Source organism: Homo sapiens, chromosome 4 (genome assembly GCF_000001405.40).
Source record: "Homo sapiens chromosome 4, GRCh38.p14 Primary Assembly".
NCBI lineage: Eukaryota > Metazoa > Chordata > Mammalia > Primates > Hominidae > Homo > Homo sapiens.
This window is the reverse complement of record NC_000004.12, coordinates 87640948-87665910: the sequence shown is the minus strand read 5'-3', so window position 1 is coordinate 87665910 and position 24963 is coordinate 87640948. Positions and strand designations below refer to the sequence as shown.

At 38.3% G+C, this 24963-nt stretch overlaps 1 protein-coding gene and 1 long non-coding RNA gene across 5 annotated transcripts in view; one reads left to right on the top strand and one right to left on the bottom strand.

Moving 5' to 3' along the window:
* Positions 1 to 24963, top strand: part of DMP1-AS1 (DMP1 and DSPP antisense RNA 1) — a 164356-nt gene that overhangs the window by 66504 nt on the left and 72889 nt on the right. The gene's annotated exons all lie outside the window — the stretch shown is intronic.
* DMP1 (dentin matrix acidic phosphoprotein 1) lies at positions 1554 to 15631 on the bottom strand. Of its 4 annotated transcripts, none has more exons than NM_004407.4 (6): positions 15527 to 15631; positions 9365 to 9439; positions 8832 to 8879; positions 6659 to 6691; positions 6433 to 6480; positions 1554 to 3949 (listed from the first exon to the last, which is right to left on the bottom strand). In NM_004407.4, exons 2-6 carry the CDS (start codon positions 9416 to 9418, stop codon positions 2591 to 2593), a joined length of 1542 nt encoding a protein of 513 aa, NP_004398.1. In that variant the 5' UTR covers positions 9419 to 9439; positions 15527 to 15631; the 3' UTR covers positions 1554 to 2590. The 4 variants fall into 4 exon arrangements, with proteins under 4 accessions (NP_004398.1, XP_011530007.1, NP_001073380.1 ...); XM_011531705.3 differs by lacking the exon at positions 15527 to 15631 and adding an exon at positions 11026 to 11549; NM_001079911.3 differs by lacking the exon at positions 6433 to 6480.

Genomic DNA, 24963 nt, shown 5'->3' with positions numbered 1-24963 from the left:
ATCCAACTTGCAGGCCGGAAGATGATTATTTTGCCCCTCAGCATCAGGAGCTCCATAATTTTCCATTTTGTGTGCCACATTAATGGGGGTTAGCCCACTCTCCGTTTCTGCCTCTCTGTGTATTCCCTTCTGTTTTTGTTCTAACCACTTTCTGACATCTCTTTCCCTAAATATACATATTTTCAGAGAAGGAAAATAAGATTAGACCTCAAGCCCCCATCATCCGCGTTCAGGCAGATGAGGCCTTTGCAACATGCCTCCTTGGAAGCTGCCAGCCAGGCTCCCCTCACATCAGGTGCTAATTCTTCCAATCCCCTATGGTGAGGTGGGGCATGTGAGTGGTTAGAACCTGGCCACCTGTGCCTCAGGCACCCAGGAGGTCTGAGCATGGGGCAGTTCTTCTCAGAAGGAGCAATGGGTTGGCAGGAACCTGTAGGTTAATGGAGTCAGATAATTAATCCAAATGGAGACCCCAAATAGCGATAGTGGATAGGCTCCACCAGAATTTCCTGGAATCCTTTTAGAGATGCAGAACTCTGGGTCTCACTCCAGACCTACTAAATTAAAAGCTCTAAAATTTCAAGGGGAAGCATTAGAGAATACACACACACACACACACACACACACACACACACACACACACACACACACACAATTTTTAAATCTCCCCAGGTAAACACACCTTTGACCTTGTGAGGGAACAGAGAAATGTGAAGGATGGGAAAGGTGAGACTGAAAGTTAGGAAGTCTTCTTGATTCTTTTTTTTTTTTTTTCTTTTTTTGAGACAGGGTCTCACTCTTGTTTACCAGGCTGGAGTGCAATGGCACGATCTTGGCTCACTACAACCTCCGCCTCCTGGGTTCAAGTGATTCTTGTGCCTCAGCCTCCTGAGTAGCTGAGACTACAGAGACGTGCCACCACACCTGGCTCATTTGGTATTTTTAGTGGAGACCGTGTTGGCCAGGCTGGTCTCGAACTCCTGACCTCAAGTGATCTGCTCACCTTGGCCTCCCAAAGTGCTGGGATGACAGGCATGAGCCACTGCACCCGGCCAGGAAGTCTTCTGGATTCTACTAATAATTTTGTGGGGAATTCTGAGGTACTGCAGTGGAAGTGGGAGTAAAAACACATTTGTAAAGTAGAAGTGCTGACGTGAAGTCGTTTCTTTCAAAGAAATAAAAATATAAGGAATATGGTACTCTGTAGCTTCCAGAACTTACACAAATGAGTCTGAGAGACCAGCAGGAAATAATGTTAAGCCTAAACATCATAAACTTTTACTGTGGCATCAAACAAAAATTCAGAGTTTACTTCATTTTTTTCTCCCTGTTCTGTAACAGGTATAGTTAGTGAAATATCATAAGCAACACATAGTATTTTTATCAAATGCTACCTGAATTACAAATAAAATTTTCAGGAAATAATTTAAGAAAATCTTTCATTTTAATAGGAGGAAGGTACTGAACTATTTGGGAATGCTTTAAAGAAAGAGTTGCTTAACACAAATATATCCTAATAATCAGCACCACGATTACAAATAAACACATATTTCTTCTGGGTATTATAATCTTTATTACAAAACAAGTATTTTATGTTGAGGTAATATTTCAAATGGTATTTGTCAAAAATCAATTGAATCTTACATACAGAATTTTGCTCTGTAAAGGACTCAGAGAACAGTTTTTTTCTAGCATTGCACGCAAACTGATTTTAGAAAAAATAAAGCTAAAAAGTATCTACGTAAAGAGGAATTTCTTTCTCCCACTCTTCCTGACCCAATCCTTCTTATCATCACCAGTGATTAGTAAGGTGATGTTTATGGGAGTTCTACAAAAAAAAAAAAATGATGAATTGGTAAATTAATTGGGAGAAAAAGATTTTCTTATCCAAAACAACTCACTGTGCCATAATTTCAAAGTGCTTTTGCAAACTAAGTATTGAATCCTATAGAATTTACTATTATTTATCCCAAGAATAGAATTTCCCGGTCTCCAATGAGGAAACCCTATGCAACCTTCCAACTCCAATGTCTTCTGCTATGAAGCCCTCCCTCGTTCTCCAACGCATTGGTCACCCTTCTCAGTGTTCCCAGATAGATATCGTGTTCATAGCTCTCTGTCTTGGCACTCACCATACTGGGTTGTAACAATTCTTGTTTCTCTTATACATATCCCTCTTTAACTCTGTAGCTTTGTGGGTCCTTCTATACGCTCCTCAGGAGCAAGAAACAAGTCTTAACCTGCTTTACATTCTCAACACCTAGCATAGTGCCTGGTATATCATGGACACCCAATAGCTTTGTTTGTTACGTTGATGAATTAGGAACTATCTCAGCTGCAAAGTTATCATGCAGATCCTTTCTTGCTTCTAGCCTCTTTGGCTGTGTTCTGGTGTCACTCCACAGTATTTAAACCTCTGTGAAATGATGACACCCTAAAAACAAGTGTAATGTCCAGCAATTCCTTTCAGGAAAAATATGGCATCTGGTTATTCTTTTGATCAAAACATCAATAAATTATAGTTATCATGATACATTTTCAAGTCCCTAAGACTCCTTTATGTGACAACTGCTTCTTAGGACAGCTGATGCTAATAGCCGTCTTGGCAGTCATTGTCATCTTGGTCCCCAATGGGTTTGTTGTGATAGGCATCAACTGTTAATTTCCGGCTCTCTATCTCAATGTTTTTCAACTGGCCATCTTCCTCACTGCTTGATTTGCTCTCCGTGGAGTTGCTATCTTCTTTGGATCTGCTGCTGTCTTGAGAGTCACTGTCGTCTTCCTCAGAATGGCTTTCCTCGCTCTGACTCTCTGCTGAGCTGCTGTGAGACTGGAGGCCCTCCTGGCTGGAGCTGTTCTCATCCTCAGGGGACTCCGGGCTTTCCTCTGAGAAGTTGAGGCTCTCACTGGATTCGCTGTCTGCTTGCTCCTCTCTGGATTCACTTTTTGAGTGGGAGAGTGTGTGCGAGCTGTCCTCCTCGCTGGAGTCACTGTCTTCCTGGTCTTCTACATAACTAGTTGTGGGGTCGGGGTTATCTCCCCTGGACTCACTCACCACCTCTTCCTGAGACTCACTGCTGTTCTCTTGAGATGACAGGTTGGCCTCTTGGCTGGACTCACTGCTGGGACCATCTACGTTTTGGCTCTCTTCCTGGGACAGATTCTCCTTGCTGTCTTCTTGAGAGTCACCCTTGCTGTCTCTCCTGGGTTGGCTGAGGCCAGTGTCTCTGGAGTTGCTGTTTTCTGTAGAGTCACTCTTGACTTCTTCCATTGTGTTGTTGTCATCAAGCTCGCTTCTGTCATCTTCCTCTGAGATGCGAGACTTCCTAAAAATTTTCCTACTGGGATGCTCCAGCAATTGGCTGCCACCTGAATCTTGAGTGTTTGCTTGCTCACTGTTTTCTCCAGATTCTTTTGATTTCATGCCTGCACTGTTCATTCTGGAGTTTCCCCTTTCACTCCTGATGCTCTCTGGGTCATCACTCTGCATTCCCTCATCGTCCAACTCGGAGCCGTCTCCATGGCTGCTCTCCCCATCACTGCCACCTCCCACCCAGTGCTCTTCACTCTCACTCTCTTGAGTGGAGTCACCTCCCTCAGGCTTGCTGTCCACCCGGTCCTCATTGTCAAGTTCCCTGCTCTCACTGGTGGTATCTTGGGCACTGTCTTGCCCTTGTGGGGCACTCTCTTCACTGGCTTGTATGGTGTCATCAGAGTCCTCATCACTTCCCAGTCTGGAGTTTCCTCCTTCTTGTCTGTCTTTGGGCCCTGGGCCACTGTCATCGTCACCAAAGGTGTCATCTCCACTGTCATCTTCATCGTCATCTTTATCATCTCCTCCTTTTCCTGTGCTCCTGGAGAAGCCACCAGCTAGCCTATAAATGTATTGATGATCATCAGAGCCCAGGCCCTCCTCTGACTGAGTGCTGTCACTGGGGTCTTCATTTGCCTAGAATTTGGGGTTAACAGATATGGTCAGTATTCCAGGAACCGATAGAGAAGGAGTTATCTAGAGCCTTTCTAGTCTTTCTGCTTCCTTCGCCCTACATCCCCTCCTCTAATCTACGGTCAGTTTTACTACTCAATAACCTCTCTACCAGAGCTTAAATAGGAAGGAAGAGGAATTGAAACTCAAGTGGTTCCATTTTATATAGGCACACTTCACTCAATGCTGCCAACATTTTCTCAAAAAGCTTTCTGGAAATCACATTTATGAAATTCAAATCATACTGTATATATAATTCCTTAAAAAAAAAAAAAAAACTCTTGGGCTGGGCAAGGTGGCTCACACCCATAACCCAGCACTTTAGGAGGCCGAGGTCAAGAGATCGAGACCATCTTGGCCAACATGGTGAAACCTCGTCTCTACTAAAAATACAAAAATTAGCAGGCCGGGCGCGGTGGCTCACGCCTGTAATCCCAGCACTTTGGGAGGCCGAGGCGGGCGGATCACGAGGTCAGGAGATCGAGACCATCCTGGCTAACACGGTGAAACCCCGTCTCTACTAAAAAATACAAAAAATTAGCCGGGCGAGGTGGCGGGCGCCTGTAGTCCCAGCTACTCCGGAGGCTGAGGCAGGAGAATGGCGTGAACCCCAGGGGGCGGAGCCTGCAGTGAGCCGAGATTGCGCCACTGCACTCCAGCCTGGGCGACAGCGAGACTCCGTCTCAAAAAAAAAAAAAAAAAAAAAAAAAAAAAAAAAAAATTAGCTGGCTGTGGTGCCACAAACCTGTAGTCCCAGTTACTTGGGAGGCTGAGGCAGGAGAATCACTTGAACCTGGGGGGCAGAGGTTGCAGTGAGCCGAGATCGAGCCACTGCACTCCAGCCTGGCGACAGAGCGAGACTCCGTCTCAAACAAACAAACACACACACAAAAAAACCTCTTAGGTAATTGTTTGTGAATTAGAGTTGGTTTATAATGCTCATGCATTAAAGTGTTTGGTGTGAAACAGAGTTTTTAAAAATATTGAGTGATCTTAAAATGACCCCAATTTTTTTTCTTCTGGAGGGAAAAATGTACTAGGACCAGAGGATAAAATCTTTAGCTAAAATGAAAATTAAATATTATAGTAAGGTATATACTTCACCCAAACCATGTTTCTACCTCGTTAGTACAACCAGAAAGTTGCCTATAGATGATTCAGCTAGAAGACACCAACTAGTGTGACCAACAAGGCAACTTAGTGCTACGTGGGAAGTCAGAGAGGTGAGCCCTGTAAGTAAAACAATTGGATGCTCTGTACCAGTAAGGAAGGACAGTGAGTCTTCATACATTATGCTCCCAAAATATCTGCTCTCTTTACCATACCCTACAACAGAGCATACCTGCTAGTTTTTGTTTTGTTTTGTTTTGTTTTTACACATCCCTACTGATCAATGTCTGAGTCTGTAATTGGGTGATTGGGAGTACTTGTGTATATGCTGTTGACCTCTCTTCCTAGCACTGGAGTTTTATGCTAGTATGGTGGAACTGAGCATGGGTTTAACCTGCCATACCTCGTTAACCCAACTCACAAGCAGGAACTGCAGGAATCACCATACCTCATTACCCTTTCTCAAGCAGGAATTGCTACCGTAACTTGAAAGCTTACAGACCCTTGAGACAACAAATCACAAAGTCCCCAGCAAACGGCATTTCTCCAGTTCTATGCTTTTAAATTTCTAGAATGTTCCTTTGATAACCTTAAGTAAATAGGGATAAACAGGCTAATAATTCATCTTCCAACTCTGGCTAAGTGTAGAATGCAACATGGATCAAAGCCTTAGGGAGAAACCTGGCTCCTGGACTCTCTGGAGCCCCACAGGATTGAGTTTGGTCAAAACAATAGCATAGCTAAGAAAGTAACAACACTTAGTCTTAGAAAAATGAAAAAGAATGCCAGCTTTAAGGGATATAAACTGAGTCTGCCTTTCTCACTCCCAGAGCCCAGTCCCACAGATGGGACTATTTTCGAAGAGAAAGTCATCACTGAAGCAGTTCTTTTCATTAAAGTTTCCTCAGGGCTGTCCTGTTCTGTCTTCGAGCAGGATCCTTGACACATAGAAGCTCCCAGGCACTTCTTCACCTGAGCTGAACTGCTCCAATTGTAAAAGCAACATTTTAAGTTGATGAGCAAGTTTGACATGGTCAATGACCATTTGTGAGTGTGTGTGTGTGTTTCTGCGCATGTGTTTATGTTTTAACTAGGAGAGACATTTGGGGCCACAGTGCCAGCAATCTAGGCTCAGTGATGAAAATAAGATGAATAGCATGTCTGCATGTGAATTCTCCTTACTCATTTTTCTCTTCTTACTTTATAGGACTCTTTAGCCAGCATAACTCATAGTTAGAAAATATTATATTTAGAACTGTCGCCAGGTAATTTAATCTAACATCATTTCCTTCCATTCCTAAGTAGCCTGAAAAGTTAAGAAAGGTCTGTTTAATTACCTGTTCCTCTGAGCTAACTTTACTGCCTTCTGATGACTCACTGCTCTCCTGAAAGGGGAAAAATGTTTACTTTTCTTTTTAGTAATTCCTTAGGAAAGAAAAAAACATGATACACATCAATTGCTTCCAGTCTGGATTTACTACTTTCAAAATTGTAAAAGGCAACTGGAAGAGTGTTAAAGTTACTTCATGAGATGTTTATGACAAAAGTAAATGAGATAGTTACCAAGGGTGGTGTTGGTGCCTGAGCCAAATGACCCTGCAAAAAAGGAAAGGAAGGAAAACAAATTACTCCCTCACAGATGGATTTCATTATTGTAATTATTTACAATAATTTTAGGTTATTATTTTTAGTTTCTTGGTAGAGATCTTACATTTACATGAGTAATAGTGAAATTTTATGATGAAATGGTTCCAAAAGGAAAGTAAAATGACTAATGGCTTGAAAAGATCTTGGGATATAAGAGACCTAGACAATGTTTATATTTCTGATATTTCATTTACAGAAATAAATATGCTTTTTTGAACCTGGCCGTTCATACAACCTAGAGGAAACGTAACACAGGAAAAGCAGCATTGAAACTCAGAATCCAGATTTAAGTCTCAATTAACTCACTGGTTTTGGTTTTAGCCCTGAAAACCAATCATCTTGGTGTTAGCACTGAAAGTCATGTGTTCCAGGAAACCCCTAAGTTCCAGGTAAACCGAGATGGTTGGTTACTCTAGGTGAAGGTGGGCAATTCACTTCACGTGTCTGACCACCAGTTTCTTATTCATAAATTAAGGAAATTAACACCCACTGTGCTTACCCCACAAGGTAGTTATGAAGATGAAACCAGCTAATGCCTATGGAAGTATCTCGAAAACTATTTATTCAACATGATATAAACTAAAGAAAAAATCCATTTGATAACATCCACCTTATAAAATTTAATAGTAAACAAAACTGAATTGAGAAAGCCATGAAACCCTTCTCGAGTCATGTAAAAGCCCTGGTATTAAAAACAAATGCTAAATCAGAAATTTAACTAGTCATACCTCTAATTTATTTCACTATCTTTAGTCTCATAAGCACTATAAGAATGCCTTAGCAACTTCTGGTACCCCTCCCCATCACTTCTTCCCCTTCCCCTTGAGGAGGGCAAAGTCCTGTGTGGAACACCCAAGGCGCAAAGTAGAGCAGGGAGGAGCTGCTATTGACATGTCTTCAACGTGCGTTTCAGAGGTGCTGGACTGGGGGTATCTCCTTAGGGAAAGGAGCTATAATCACGCTGTCTTTGGCCTGCAACACTGCAGGCAGGCACAATGGCAGGCTGTGCTCCAGTCAATTATCATTTGGAATTAATGGGTGGAAGGGAGCAAGACATTGTTATTTTTCTCATGCCAAGGCTAGACTTGAGAACAGGGCATGTTTGTGCGTCTCTGGTTAAATGAGAGAGAGGATCTAGAGTGTCTGCTTTTAAATTAACCAGCCTATGGATTTCTCTGAAGAAAGTTCATAATAAATACTGCAAAGTCTATTCCAGACTCAGGCATGGACAGGACCCCACCTCAGGTCACTGACATTATCTGGCCACCACCAAAAGCATTGGGGCCAAGCTTTATCATATGTAAAAGCCAGTAGGAAACACAGTAGTGAACAAAATGCTCTGATTTCGCATAAGATTTTAACCCTTAGTGCCAATCTTGAGAATTTTCTGACCTCTTAGACCTGGCTCCTTCCTGAGAGGGATATGACACACTGGTTAAGAATGTGGATTCTGGAGCTAGAGTGACGTAATATCAAAGTCTGGCTCTAACACTAATTGACCATGTAACCTAGACGATTGAATTACTCTCTGTGATCAGTTTTCTCATCTGTAAAGTGAGAATAAAACATAATACCTAATTCACAGAGGTGTGAAAATTAAGAAAGTTAATATATGTAAAACACTCAGAACTGTGCCTGGCAATGATTCTTGAGTTATTGAGAGTTAGTAACTCTCAATATAATAACATGCTAGCAACATTAGCTCTCATTCCAGAGACTCTAGTGTCCTCTCATTCTTCTTTCTTTTTTCACCTTCCAGGACTTGACCTCTTGCCCACCAGATAACTCTTGTTAAAACAGATTTCAAGTCATAATCTCTCCTGAAGACTCTTGATTCATTGTCATGCATCCCCTGGTACTATTATACACATCCATTATAAGAAGAAAGCTAACAGAAAATATGCTTCCTTGCCAGAGTATACTACTAAGTTGGAATCACAGCAGTATTTTCTTCTATGAACTCTATAGCTTAGCTTATTAATATGCTGATGAAGTCATTAGCAGTTTCAATATTTGCAATGAAATCAATTTGGTTATACTCATAATAAATTAAAATTAAAATATTTCAAAAAGTCATATTTCTACTCACCTTCCATTCTTCAGAATCCTCAGATTCATTATTTTGATACCTGGTTACCTAGAAAATTTAGTACACATGGTAAATCCAAAGAGAAATTTCTAAAGCAATAGTTATTAACACATTTCATACATAGGAGTAGGGATAGTCAAATTTTAGGCTGCATCAGAATCACTGGGAGGCCTTGTTAAAACACTGATTTCTGTTTCCTATCCCTAAAGAGTCTGGCTTAGCAGCTCTGAGGTAGGGTCCAAGAATTTGGATTTCTAACAAGGTCCTAGTTGATGCTGATGCTGGTGGTTCCAGGATGACACTTTAAGAAGCACTGCTTATAGGGAAGAAAAGTATGAATGATATCTATGTGAATGGCAACTGAACAGAATAAAAAACACCTTGAATGATATTTCTTAAGAAAACAGCATGCTAAGAAACTACTATTTTTACTGGACTGGAACATACACAGCCATCTTGGTTCATAGCCAATCAAAATTGTGGAGTTTTAAGTATGAAAGGGTTTTTTCATATATCCCTACCCTAATACTTACTGGGAGAGCACAGGATAATCCCCAAAGGAACATGAGCAGGATGCTGATCTTCATAGTTGGGTGTGATACCTCTACCTGGAATGAAGGACATAGATGTTTCTCTCCATGTTAAAGGAATAAAGTAGTTTCAACTTTTTAACAGTTTCTTCCTACTAAAAATTCATCCAAATGTCCATGAACTGATGAATGGATAAATAAAATTTACTGTATCTATAAAACAGAATATTATTCAACCATAAAGAGGAATGAAGTACTGACATGTGCTGCAGAGTAGAGGAAACTTGAGAACACTATGCTAAGTGAAAGAAGCCAGATAAAAAGGCCACATTGGAATGATTCTATTTACATGAAATGTCCACAATAGGCAAATCTACAGAGACAAAAAGTAGACTAGTGGTTGCCCAGAGCTTGTGCAGATGGGAGGTTGAGGGGTGACAGCTAATGGGTACAGGATTTCTTTTGGAGGTGATGAAACTGTTCCATGTATTGTAGTGAAGGTTGCACAACTCTGTGAACATACTGAAAACCACTGAGCTATACACTTCAAATTAGTGAAGTATGTGGTGTATAGATTATAACTCAACAAAGTGGTTTTTAAAAACCTCACTCCTAAGAAATAAATTGAAAATGTTTCAATGAGGAGATGTACAAACGCTAACACATAAAGTATGATAAATTGACGAAAAAGTAAAGAAAGAGGAATATAGAAATTTCTATCCATTCCCTTTTACAATAATTATGCAGCTTGGTATGGCAGAGCACCCTAGCAAATGTATTCTCCCTAAAAAACTACACTTATTGACACCAGTGATAGGTGGTGGGCATTTGTTTTCACACACACACAAACACACACATACACATACACACACACACACACAATGGCTTCTAAGTCACATTTATGACTGCATAATAATGTCTACACAAAATAGATTTTTTTTTGCTTTTTTTGTGATCTGCAAGAGATGCGCTAGAGTAGGCTTCATATTACAACTTCAGAAAGCTCTTAATATCTACTGTGACACGTTTAGTCATACATTATACATAATTATGCTAAATTATTTTTGCTGTCATTCACAGTACTGAAGGATTTGGGGAAGATTACAGGTTTGGGATACACTTGTAAATCATGCTGAGAGAAACACGCCAAATCAAACTATTTTTCTGGAGGGTAACTTCATTTCACACTTCAAGAGCTGTTGCTTTGGAAAACACTTTGTTTTGTATTTAAAAATAGAAGTACTAGATGCTAAAGTAAAAATTTATTGAAATGGTTTAAGGAACGCAATTTACCCTGCACTAGTAAGCCCTGGTAGCTGCCCTAGCATACTTGTCTGATGAACTTCCATACATTTCACAAATAATCCTGCAAGTTTATTTCACGTTTGTCGATTTGTTTCATTTCTTTAAATGTTAAATGTATACTGTGAAAGGAAAATAAAATCTTGGGACCCCAAACTCACTAAGTCAAAGGGAAAGTCAACCTAGGAACTGGGTCACTCAAACCTGCCTCCCATTTTGTTCTTAAAAAGATAGCTACAAGGATAAAAGGCTACATACCTCCCTCACAATTTTCTCACAGGGAAATTCCTGTGGGCCCTGAGATCTTTACCCCAAAACAGTCTGGTTGAATTTCACCCTCACAATGTAAATTAACAGCTTACCTTCATAAGTTCAGGACAAAGGACAGAACTAAAAGTCATTCCTCTTCTCACCTGAGACAGATGCATGTCTGACAGCTTCCTCTAGTCTATGTTTACTTTATCTTATGTAGAAATGCAGATTCACTGAGCATGAGACAAATGCATAATTGACTATTCCTCTACCCTCTCCTTTCACATATAAAATGTGGGCTCAGTGAGCACTAAACAAAGACTCAAAGGAATGCAACCACTTGCCTCTTTTATCTGTCCTTCCTTTCTCCTATTGCCTGTTCTTTCCCCTTTAAATACTGAAGTCCTCGGACTCTTTGTAAACAAACATGGACCATAGATGTTTCTGGTAGTTTTGTGTTCATTTTTCCCAGGTGCATCCTCAATTTTGGCAAGATAAGTCTCCAAAAATAATTGAGACTCACCTCAGTCATTTTCTTTGATTTGCAATAGTTTACTGGTATAGGAACTCAGAAAACAATACTCCATAATGAAGGCCTCAGAAGCAGCCTCAGAAGCAAAAGCTTCTCTCTGACCTTCCCCTGCCCTCCTATCTCTGGCCCCTCATTCTCCCCTGAGACTAACCATAGAAACTAGAATCCCTCTTTCCCAAAGGCAGGTTATAGAAACCAGAACCTCTTTTCCCCAAAGCCAGCAATAAAACCTGAAAATATTACCCTAAGTCCCCCTGTCTTTCTGTGTAACAACTGGCCTTAAAGAAATTCTCTGACCCCCCTAGTTTAATTGTATGTCATAAGACCCGCATTGCAGAGAAGGTCCTGTCCCATATCAAGAAGGAAGAAATGCTGCACGGAGAGGCCAAGAAGAATCTGGACAGGCTTTGCTGGGCCACCCCACTTGGTCTACTAGTATAAGGTCAAAACCTTTTTGTCCAATCATATTTCTACATGGCTGCCCATGTTTTGTTGGACATAAGCATAAAGATGGACAGTTTCTCCTGTATCTTTAGGTCTTCGTTCTGAAGGCTCCTGTGTCACATAAAAATAATTTTGTATTCCTTTTCTCCTATTAATCTATATTTTGTCAGTTGATTTTCAGCAAACCTTCAGAGGGTGAGGGGGAAGTTTTCCCTTGGCCCCTAAAATAATGATAGGAGTTAAAAGCCAAAGATTCTCAACCCTAAATATATATTACTATCAACTGGGAAGAGTTTTAAAAATGCCAATGCACAAATCCCATCCCAGGGCAATAAATCCATTCACTTGGGTGGGCACAGGAATAGGTTTGTTTTTAAAGTTCCACAAGAGATTTTAACACTTGATCTAAGAATTAAAAATATCATAATTAACCAGGCTTGGTGGCACGTGCCTGTAGTCCCAGCTACTCAGGAGGCTGAGTGGGGAGAATTCTTTGAGCCAGGGAGGTTGAAGCTGCACTGAGCCATGATCGTGCCACTCCACACCTGTTTGGGTGACAGAGCAAGACCCTATCTCAAAAAAAAAGTATATATATATATATATATATATATATATATATATATATATATATATCACTCGATAATGCCTGAATATGCTGAATATTGTCTGAAACATTGGGCTCAAGAAGTCATCTAATCTTATTTTTAATGTATTCAATAAAATAATAGAAATCCTAAGATAAGGAGCCTGAACAGGCTTCTCATTTCTGCTTTCACACAACTCAAATGGTCAAACAACCTCTCATGTATATTATGGGCATTATCTCTCCTCAGCATAGTTATTCTTAATTTGTGCTACTTTCTTTATTCTAATTCGCATAGTGTATATCAGTCCTTATGTTTGATACTATCTTAATTTCTTTTAAAAATCCTTCAATTAATATCAACAGAGAAAAACATATGAAAATGCTTAACTATACCAAAATCAAGCTTAATTTAATAGATGTTACTTCTCTTTAGATACCACAATCAAAACTTTTTAAAAAATGTGTTAGGTTTATTTCTTCAGGAAAGCAAAATTTTCTCAAATATGATATTCTCAAAATAACCCTTTCAATGCTTTCAGTTTCACAGATCAAATGAAAGTTACCTCATCATTTTAATTTTCAAAGTGAAATTTGAATAGGGTTATAATTTCATGATTCTCTGAAAGCTAGCAAATGTTAGAGCCTTGACAGAAGGTCAATGACTATTGAATTCTCTTGTATTTTCTTTAGCTTCTCTAATCTAAATAATTAGAAAACTGGGGATGCCATTGTGCATTTATTCTAAACCAATGAACGTTGTGTTTTCTCACAAAGAAGTGCATGCCCCAAGTGCTCAAGTTTCTTAGGGATGGAAGATTCTAAAACACAAGAAAGATGCCCTAACTTGCTCAGGATTCTAGAAATACTCGTTAGCATCCTGACCTAAAGCAATAATTTCCCAGATGCAAGTCTAGTAAACTAAAATAAAAGACACTCTAGAGTTCTGAGAGAGCTGATGTTGCCACCCAAAAAATATAGTCCAACTGTAAGCATTAAAGAAAATCAGATCTTAAACCCCTTGTTAGGTTTGCATTTGGTATTTCTGATAAAAATAATTATAATTTTGTGAAGTGCATTTCCAAACAAGAGCTCCAAACTTTTATAAACATTTTGGCTACTATTCAAAAAAGAGTAGAAGCAGATAGGCAGTAGCCATATTCTGAATAATAAATGTGAACCACAGCTACAAGCCTGCAATTAAAAGTCCAGAACTTTGAGTTCTTCTTCAGTGATTGGTTAATGTTATTTCTACATTCTACATGCTGTCATTCTACAGTGAGATGACGTAACAAAAGGAAATAAACAACTTGAGTTCCATCCATTTGGAAGGCGGTGTATTAGAGAATTTCTGCCCCTGTGAATTGTTTTCATAGAGTTGAAAAGAGCCAAATGTTTAGAATGTGGAGAGGGAAACTAAAGTCAAGATTTCAGGTGTGTAGCCAAAACTTCTTTCGGCTCTTAAGTAAGGAAATTTGTTCTAGCATTTTCTCAAGGTTAAGATACATTTGTAAAATATATATCTTCTTTTATGTAAACCAAAATGAAGGAAATAGGCCAAAAGAAGAAAATAAAGGTTTGAAAAGTCATAGACTCTTTTTTCTTTTGGAAAACAATTCATCATATTAATTTGCTTTATTTGTCTTAGTATTGTTATCTTCAAGAACACAACTGAACAATACATTCATTCATTAGCAGTCAGTAAATATTTATGAACATGCAATGTGTTAGGCACTTTTCTAGCCCATATTCTCAAAACCAACAATTTAAGAAACTCTAATATTTTGGTAGCTTTCTCCATGTACAACCTGTAAATGTACATTAGCAGGAAACTTTAATAATAATAAACAATAATAATAAAATAAGTTGGTTTTATAATAATAAAATTAACCAGAATCCAACTAACTAGAACCTGCTAGAATTTGTTTTCTTATTACTCTTTGAAAATAGAATCAAACTTGGCCAGGATATGAACTCTACCAGGAATCCAGAGAAACAAACAAACCAAAAAAAAATCCAATTCTTCCTATTGTATGTGTCTTCAGGTCAATTACGATGAATCCAATATTATATGCTTTTAATCACAGGAATATACCTCTGAGGTGCCCCCAAAATTAAATATAGATTTGGAAGGCCTCTAAGCATCTGAGGCACATTGTTTTACATCACCATTTTCAGGTAGGTAAGTGGACTAATACCCTTTAGAAAATAGTTTGTTCGCATTTTTAAACAACAAAGTTAAAATAAGATAGTCAAGCCTCAGTTAAACAGAAAGTATGGTTAACCACAAGTTACTGCTCTTAAGGAAGACAAGTTGCTAAAACACATGGACTCTTCTAAACGTCACACAGATGAAGAAGTGCACTAAATACAGTAAATAAAAATACATATGGACATTTTAAAATATATGTTTTAAAATGCAATATTTTAAAATATAATTATATTCAACATTTATTGAATTCTAACTGTATTCAAGGCATCATGCTAACATGAATACAAAAAACATAATTATCACACCCTCAGTTATTTCAGTAGTTTAATCATCTTTTAGTTACTTATGCAGTTCATAATAAATGTTACTAGATGCTCTCTAGATGAATAACATTTTAATTTAAAAAAAATTCTTTTTAAAGTCCTGCCATTCAATAAGTTTAGCTTTTTTTTCACAATCTTGTAGGTTGCAAACATTCCCTTATTCATGAAACACACTGTAAAAGTTTTATACGTTTTGCTAATTAAAACTAAATTTCAAAATGACCTTCCATCTGCCTCCTGTTCTATAAACTATCCCTTTTAGAAGTGTCATGCAGAGATCTAATTAAAGCATTACCAAGAAAAACACCTGGCTGTATTGTCTTAACATGTCATTTTCATATCATTATTTACTGTGGCATAAACAACAGGCACAAAAATAGGAACTGTTTTTACCCAAAGCGCAGCTCTCCCATCTCTCTCTACATGGTATAATGCCTCAAACATGTATACATATTTAATATTTTCCAAACAACCAGCAAAAGTCATTTTAAAAAATTAAATGATGAAAATGACTTACCCTCCGTAGTTCACAAAGAATTTTTTCAAAAAGTCTCAAAAATCAGGTTGATGTTCTCAAAGAGGAAATCTATGCCCAATGAAGCCACTCTTGTGTTGATATTCTGGACACTTCTCTGATGGTGCAGGAATTTAAACTCTGCTGCAGCTCTTCATAGCCAATCAACCTCAGGCTGGGGGTGACTGACATCACAAGGTGTCACCGGGACCCCGGTACACCCACACTTCCTCCAGCTGGCAGAGGCACATTTTCCCTAAAAAGCTCTTGTGGTTCCCAAATGACTAGACTAGTTTCCATTAAATTGAAGATCTTCCCAAAACTTTATTTTGATTTCTAAATATATGTCATTCACATTCAGGCAGTCTTATGAACAATGACAATGTCTTCTACCCACCGACAGATCCCAGCAGACCCAAGGATGGGAAAGGCGGAGGCAGGGGTGGGTAGAAAGTTTCCTGTTAATGTACATTTCCAGGTTGTACATGGAGAAAGCTACTAAAATACTAGAGTTCCTTAAATTGTTGGTTTTGAGAATATGGGCTTTTATTTCTTCCTTTTTCCTCTTTTAACAACCTCTACTACTCACCTCCTTTTCCTCTCATCTCCCCACCCCCATATACACACAAAGTTCCCAAACTCCTACTAATCTAATAAAGCGTCCACTAAAGTACCCCCCTTAAGTAGCTATTGTGTTATTCAAGAAATTTAGATCTAACACTTAACACTTAATCATTCCCTGTTTGCCACATTTTAATGATTCTTTGAAATCAGAATTGGATTAAGGGGAATACTAGCTGGGTAGCATCCAAGGAAACTAATCTTGAAGGGACTCTGTGCCACCACTGAAAATGTAATGAAATGGATAAAATGATATTTACCAAAACATTTTCGAGGAAGCGTACTAAAAGTTGTAGGGAGCTGGAAATGGGTTTGGCAATTTCCCAGGAGCGTGTTCAAGTGACGGCAGGATGGCCACTGAACAAGAATTTAGAGAATATCAGCTGCTGGACCTTAATTTCCTTAAGAGTAGGGATGTTTGCTTGTCTACTGATCTATAATCAGTGCCTGGATACCTAGAACAGTTCTTAATAATCACTCAGTACTCTTTGAATGACTGAGTGGATTGGCTTGAAAATTAGCCAAACTATTAACTTGATTACAGTATCTGCATAACTCACTGTAACTTTTAAAAAAATGCTTTAATTGTTAAAAAAAAAATTGAGCTGATGCTCCTAACATGGATCTAGAAAATTAGAGTGCCCAATTTATTCAGGCAACTAATGTCAGATATATGGATTATCAACATATTTAGTGTGAACTATAATATGCGGGGGAGGGTGGTGCAGACAATGAGGAAAGAGATGTCTATTTTCATTTAGGGTTGATTAGAAAGCCAAAGTCCATATGGGGAAGCTATAAATTCCCTGTGATTTGCTCTGGTTCTGAATTACACTCTCTGATGGTTTCATGGGTCTTAACTGAGATCTATGCTAGAAGAACCTTATAATCTTATGACAGAATTGGATTCTGGGCAGATTTGGGCAGATTGCATTACAAGACATTATTTTAGACTCTCTTCAAATCCCTACATAAAAACAGAGGAGCAATTAGATAACAAAATTGAAAACTGTGGATAACATTTACAATAAAACTAGGCATTTTTGTTATCTATTGCTATATCAAAAACCACTTCAATACTTTGCATTTTAAAACAACTACCATTTTCTTATCTCTCACAGCTAGCATTGTAGTCATCTGAAGACTCAGTTGGGGCAGAACATTTCAGATGCCACTTTCATAGTTGTTACCTGAGAGCTCAGCTGGAGCTGTAATTCTGAGCACTTTAGTTCTTTACATGGCCTCTCCTTGGCTTGGCCTTCTCACAACCTGAAGGCTGGGGGCCAAGAGTTCCTAGAATATCATTTTTCCATATTCTGTTGGTCAATCAATCACAAGGAGATCTCAGATTCATAAGGAGAAATACTCTCTACCTTTTGGTGTCAGATCAGGATGCACATGTATAGGGAGCAGAGGAAACGTTGAGGTAGTTTTTGATTAGTTACCACCCCTTATGACAAGTTATATCCACTAACTCCAAGGTGACTAAGGACAAAGTCCACAACTGCCACAAGACCTAGAGAGTCTATGCAGGAGTGAGCGGAGGAAAGCAGCAGGAAATCTGATGAACATGAGAACAGCAGAACCCAAAGCAGTCAAGAATTATTGCTGATGGGTGCCAATGGTTCATAGCACAGCTGAAGGATCTAGACCAGTCTAGCCCCTAAGGATTCTAAGCCACTACAGCTGCTTTCTAAGACAGACTCACATACAGGAGAAACTTCTGGGAGTGGAATAAAAATTGCACAGGATATAGACAATAGAGAAGACACAGATAAATATGGGAGAGGGGAATGGATCCAAGAAATCTTAGAAAGCTGCTATTTTTTTTTAACATAACACGAAAGCAACAGAAGAGGGAGCCGTGTGAAGTTTGAAAGTTACCCTGAACCACATTTCTTTCTAAAAGTACAGGAAAACCACTTTCATATAAAACAAACAGCAAAAAACTATGAAGGTTAAATCCCATAGGAGCAGAATAACAACCTGATAGACAAAGTATGCTTAAAAGACATAATTAAATAATAAATTAAAACCCTAAGCTTCTATTTTTAAAATAGTAAAGAAGTATCAAGAAAATGACACAATAGGTGAAAAAAATACATGGAAACTAGAATAATTCAGAAAATAAATATCAGGACTCAGGAAAATATTAGCATGAAAGAAAAAATTATTTTAGAAATGAAAACTAATCTAGAGGGAACACAAAAGAGAATAAATATAATAGGTAATTATTCAATGGAAGTAGAAGGCAAAAAAGAGGGAAATATTTTAAAGTTAAAAAAATAAATAAATAAAAAGTATTTGGGAAAAAGTGAATTATATTAAAGATTGGCAAAGAACATCCAAATTGTAGATTATAGGAGGCCTAAAGAAGATAACAAAAGTGAGAGAACAGCAGAAGTACTAAAAAACAAACGAATAACAAACATATCATCGAAGGAAGTTTCCCTGAATTTAAAAAAAGAAGATTAAAAACTCTCATTTAAAGAGCATATCATGTACCTGAGAATATTGGCCCAAAATGACCAACACCAAAACATATTCTAATAAAATTACTGAACTTTGAAGGTAAAGTCCTTTGGGCTTCTAGGCAAAAGCAACAAGTGATTCATAAGGGAAGGGATATTAGATTATCATTAAGACTTTGACAGTAATGCTTCATGCCAGGAAAAATAAGGTAATATACCTAATGCATTCAAGATAAGAAAATGTGAAGTAAGGATTTTATAAGTCAGCAAACTGACTTTTAGGTATGAGAGGCTAAAGCAAACTGCTATCAACAGGCAAGAATTCAAGGAATATTATTTTCTCAAACCATTGCTGGGGAATCTACTAGATAAAGAGTTTCAGTCAACCAAAATAACTAGAGAGGCATTGTCGTAAGAACAGGTGATAAACATAAAACATATAGTTACTTGTAAAAATGTAATTAAGTGAGGCTAAACGGGAGACAGCACGGTATATAATAACTAAATACTTAGCATTGATATAGTGCAGCTTTTAAAAAGGTGGGGAGAACGGAGAGCATATGTGCAAAAATAATTTCAACTGCTCTCAATAATTATACTAGTGATGGCAATATTATTGTTATTCTGAGAATGTTGTATGTATAATGTGGAATAAAGTATATTAGTAATTTTGAATTATTCTCTTTCTTTAACCAATGCATCCATGAGAATCAGGATTCTCAGTGTGAAAGAAAGGAGATACAAATTTGATACAAAAGAGCAAAAGCCCTTTGGGAGGCCGAGGCCAGCAGATACCTTGAGCCAGGAGTTCCAAACCAGCTTGGGCAACATGGTGAAACCTCATCTCTACAAACAGTACAAAAAAATTAGCTGGGCGTGGTGGCTCCCACCTGTAGTCCCAGCTACTCAGGAGGCTGAGACAGGAGGATTGCTTGAGCCCAGGAAGTCAAGGCTGCAGTGAGCCATGATCACACCACTGCACTCCAGCCTGGGTGACAGAGTGAGACCCTGTCTCAAAAAAAAAGAGTAATGAACTCCATAATCCTATAATCCTGAATTTAAATGGAAAAGATTAGAATTTACTCAGGGATTATTATAAAGACACACTCACGCACACACACACATATCCTACATGTATATCTTAGCTCTGTCACTATAGAGACCTAAAAACACAGTCATAGCTAGGACCCCTAGAACCCGGATTATGATCTAGCATCTGGGGCCTGTTGGGAAATTGGTTGATACCAGGTCTATGACCCAAAATATGCAAGATGAGTTTGGAACATATTGTCGTCCCAGATTCCAGGAAAGCTATCAAAGATTACTAAGATTCTGTCAAAGGACTCAGGAGCCAACTCAAATAGGCCTCTACTGGCCAAAGATGGAGCAATGTAGTCTTTAAAATAGATAATTTTAAATCTCTGAGTTCATAATGATATTACAAAAATGAAATAGAATACTAATTGGTCACCTTGGGATGATAACAGGAAGCCACTTCATGACCTTGAAAACTTATAAGTAAGTGGAAAGAATGAGGTATTTGTGCAGACCTCTATGAACTAAACCAAATTAGACATGAGGGGAAGCTTATCTTTGTAAAAGAATTGTGTGATGATTAATTTTAGGTGTCAACTTGACTGGATTAAAGAATACCTAGAGAACTGGTAAAGCATTATTTCTGGGCATGTCTGTGAGGGTGTTTCTAGAGGAGCTTGTCATGTGAGTCTGTGGACTTGGTGAGAAGCATCTGCCCCTAGTATGGACAGGCAATATCCAGTCTGCTGGAGACCCCGATAGAACAAAAAAGGAAGCAGAAAAATGATTTCCTCTCTCTCTCCTGGAGCTGAGACATTCTTCTTCTCCTGCCCTTGGACATCACAACTCCAGCTTCTATGGCCTTTAGGCTCCAGGATTTATACCAGGCTACTCCTCCTGACACCCAGGTTCTCAGACCTTGGGCCTCAGACTGAGAGTTACACCATCAGCTTCCCATGTTCTGAGGCTTTCAGACTTGGACTGAGCCACACTACCCTCATCACGGGGTCTCCAGCTTGCAGGCTGCATGCTGTGGGACTTCTCAGCCTCCATAATCACATGAGCCAATTTCTCTAATAAGTCCCTTATCAATTAATATGATATATATATCATATTTATACATATATATTTACATATCCTATTATATATATTTATTTATCTTATTTATATAGGATATATACACAGATGTATATACACACATATATCCTATATAAATAGAATATATAAATAAATACACATAGGATATATAAATACATATAAATAGGGTATCTGTATATAAATATATCCTATATATATAGGATATCTGTGTGTGTGTATATATCCTATAATATACACATGGAATATATATGGATATATACAGATACATACATGTATATATACACATGGAATATATATGAATATATATAGATATATACATGTATATGTGTATATATATCTTATGTATATACAATATATATATAGTGTATACCTATCCTATGTGTGTGTATATATATCCTATGTATATGTCTCTCTGGAGAACCCCTGACTCTATATACATAGCTGTGTATATGCATAGCTGTGTATACAGCTATGTATATAGAGTCGGGGTTCTCCAGAGAGACATATACAGGGGTATATCTGTATATGTCTATGTTACTAGAGTATGTTTTGGTGTTGGTTATGTAATATTATTATGAACTCACAGATTTAAAATCATTTGATAGGTTTCAGTCTGTTGCAATTACTGTCTATCTTAAAGATTACATAGTTCCATCTTTGGCCAGTAGAGGCCTATTGGAGTTGGCTCCTGATATATATCTCTGTACATGTCTCTCTGGAGAACCTTAATACATATTCCAACTAATAAACAGCCAGGCATGATGGCTCACACCTGTAATCCTAGCACTTTGGAAGGCCGAGGCGGGCGGATCACGAGGTCAGGAGTTTGAGACCAGCCTGGCCAATATAGTGAAACCCCGTCTCCACTGAAAATTCAAAAAAGTGGCTGGGTATGGTGGCAGGCGCCTGTAATCCCAGCTACTTGGGATGCTGAGGCAGGAGAATCGCTTGAACCCGGGAGGCAGAGGTTGCAGTGAGCTGAGAACACGCCATTGCACTCCAGCCCGGGTGACGGTGTGAGATTCCATCTCAATTAATAAATAGAAAATGACATAAGTCACCATTTTACAACTCCCAGTGAATTTATCCAGGCATTGCAAATCAATGTCTAGTTAGCTCATGAAAAGAAAGACAACCAGACTATGTGGTTCCTGGTGAAAGAACACAATATCACCTATAGTCTGTTAAAGGGATCAAATTCATTGTGATCAAACTTCTGGATCCAGCCATCAAGTTTCAGGAAATACAAATAGCAGGACGATTTTGAGTTGCATTACATATGTAATCAGTAACATTTAGACTGTGGGAAACTCGACAATTCAAACATCCCAGGTTCTTCATCAGATAAATTATTAGGAAAAAAAAGAGAAAAAAACGAAGTATAGTTTAAAAGATTTTGAGACTTAAAATACACAGCAATCTTTTTTCAATGGGCAAGACTAAATTATAGTGTCAAGGTCACACACTTGGGTAATAATACTTTAAAAAGAAAGTCCAGGAAATGATTTCTATAAAATTCAGGATGGTTGTTACTTCTTAGAAGAAGGTGTTTCATTGAGATAGAGCAAGAGAGGAACTCCGGAGTGAGTTCTCGACCTCTATCTCTCGACCTGAGTGGTGATTTCAAGCATATCTTTCTTATAATAACTCACTAAGCTACAGATTCATCTTGTGGAGCTTTCTGTATCTGAGGTTATTTTACAATAAAAGTTTTAAAATATATTTAAATCCCTGTGTTTATGCCTTTTTTAGAGACAGGATCTTGGTCTATTGCCCAGGCTGGAGTGCAGTGTCACAATCACAGCTTACTGCAGCCTCGACCTCCTGAGCTCAGGTGATTCTCCCACCTCAGCTTCCTGAGTACCTGGGGCTACAGGTGTGCTCCACCACACCTGGCTAATTTTTTATTTTTTGTAGAGATGGGGGCTGGTCTTGAACTCCTGGGCTTAAGTGGTCCTCCTGCCTCAGCCTCCCAAAGTGTTGAGATTACAAGTGTGAACCACCGTACCTGGCCAGTTTATTCATTCTTAATGATACCAAAAACAAAACAATGCACAGACACACACACACACACACACACACACAAATTTCCCAACATTAAGAATATTAAAGAACCAATTCATTATTTTTGAACTTTACCTAAATAAAAATAATCAAGCATTTATCCTATGTTTCCTTTATAAATTATACCACTGGGTAACAAATGAGAAGTTTTTCTTTATAGACATAAATGAAGAAGGAATGATAAAATTAGAATATCATCATTTTGCAAACCCAAACCGAACTGCAAATTCAGTAAAATCCAGACGGAGAAAATCTACAGGACAAACAACTTTGTTTCTTCAACAAATAAGTTGCAAGTAAGAGAGCAAGAAAGAAAGTAAAACCTACAGATTAAAATAGAACTGAGAGACACAGCAATCACTTATGTGAATTTTATTTGTCTTCTAATTCCAAAAAAAAAAAGCTGAAAGAGAGGACAATTACAAAACAATTGGAAATGTAAACACTGACATGAAATCTGATGATTTTAAAGAATTATTTTTATTTTTAGCATGATAATGGTATTGTGACAGTTATTAAAGCGTACTTAGCTTTTTTTTCCTACTTTTATTTTCAATTCAGGGATGTATGTGCAAATTTGTTACATGGGTACATTGCATGACGCTGAGGTTTGGGGTACAAATGATTCCGTCACTTAGGTACTGACCATAGTTCCCAATAGTTAGTTTTTCTATTTTTCTTTTTTATTATTATAGTTTAAGTTCTGGGGTACATGTGCAGAATGTGCAGGTTTGTTACATAGGTATACATGTGCCATGGTGGTTTGTGGCACCCAGCAACCCATCATCTGGATTTTAAGCCCCACATGCATTAGCTGTTTGTCCTAATGCTATCCCTGCCTTTGGCCCCCACCCCCCAACAGGCCCCAGTGTGTGATGTTCCCATTGCTGTGTCCATGTGTTCTCACTGTTCAACTCCCACTTTTGGGTGAGAGTATGCAGTGTTTGGTTTTCTCTTCCTGTGTTACTTTGTTACATGGATGAAGGTTTCCAGCTTCATCCATGTCCCTGCAAGGGGACATGAACTCATTCTTTTTTATGGCTGGATAGTATTCCGTGGTATATATGTGCCATATTTTCTTTATCCAGTCTATCATTGATGGGCATTTGGGTTGGTTCCAAGTCTTTGCTATTGTAAACAGTGCTGCAATAAACATACATGGGCATGTGTCTTTATAGTAGATTGATTTATACTCCTTTGGGTATATACCCAGTAACGGGATTGCTGGATCGAGTGGTATTTCTGGTTCTGGATCCTTGAGGAATTGCCACACTGTACTCCACAATGGTTGAATTAATTTACACTCCCACTAACAGTGTAAAAGCATTCCTATTTCTCCACTTCCTCTCCAGCATCTGTTGTTTTCTGACTTTTTAATGATTGCCATTCTAACTGGCACGAGATGGTATCTCATTGTGGTTTTGTTTTGCATTTCTCTAATGACGAGTGATGATGAGCTTTTTTTCATAAGTTTACTGGCCACATAAATGTCTTCTTTTGAGAAGTGTCTGTTCGTATCCTTTGCTCACTTTTGATGGGGTTATTTTTTTCATGTAAATTTGTTTAAGTTCCTTGTAGATTCTGGATATTAGACCTTTGTCAGATGGATAGATTGCAAAAATTTTCTCCCTTTCTGTAGGTTGCATGTTCACTCTGATGATAGTTTCTTTTGCTGTACAGAAGCTCTTTATTTTAATTAGATCCCATTTGTCAATTTCAGCTTTTGTTGCCATTGTTTTTGGTGTTTTAGTCATGAAGTCTTTGCCCATGCCTATGTCCTGAATGGTATTGCCTTGGTTTTCTTCTAGGGTTTTTATGGTTTTAGGTCTTACATTTAAGTCTTTAATTATCTTGAGTTAATTTTTGTATAAGATGTAAGGAAGGGGTCCAGTTTCTGTTTTCTGTATATGGCTAGCCAGTTTTCCCAACACTATTTATTAAATAGGGAATCTTTTCCCCATTTCTTGTTTTTGTCAGGTTTGTCAAAGATCAAATGGTTGCAGATGTGTGGTGTTATTTCTGAGGCCTCTGTTCTGTTCCATTGGTCTATATATCTGTTTTGATACCAGTACCATGCTGTGTTGGTTACGGTAGCCTTGTAGTATAGTTTGAAGTCAGGTAGTGTGATGCCTCCAGCTTTGTTCTTTTTGC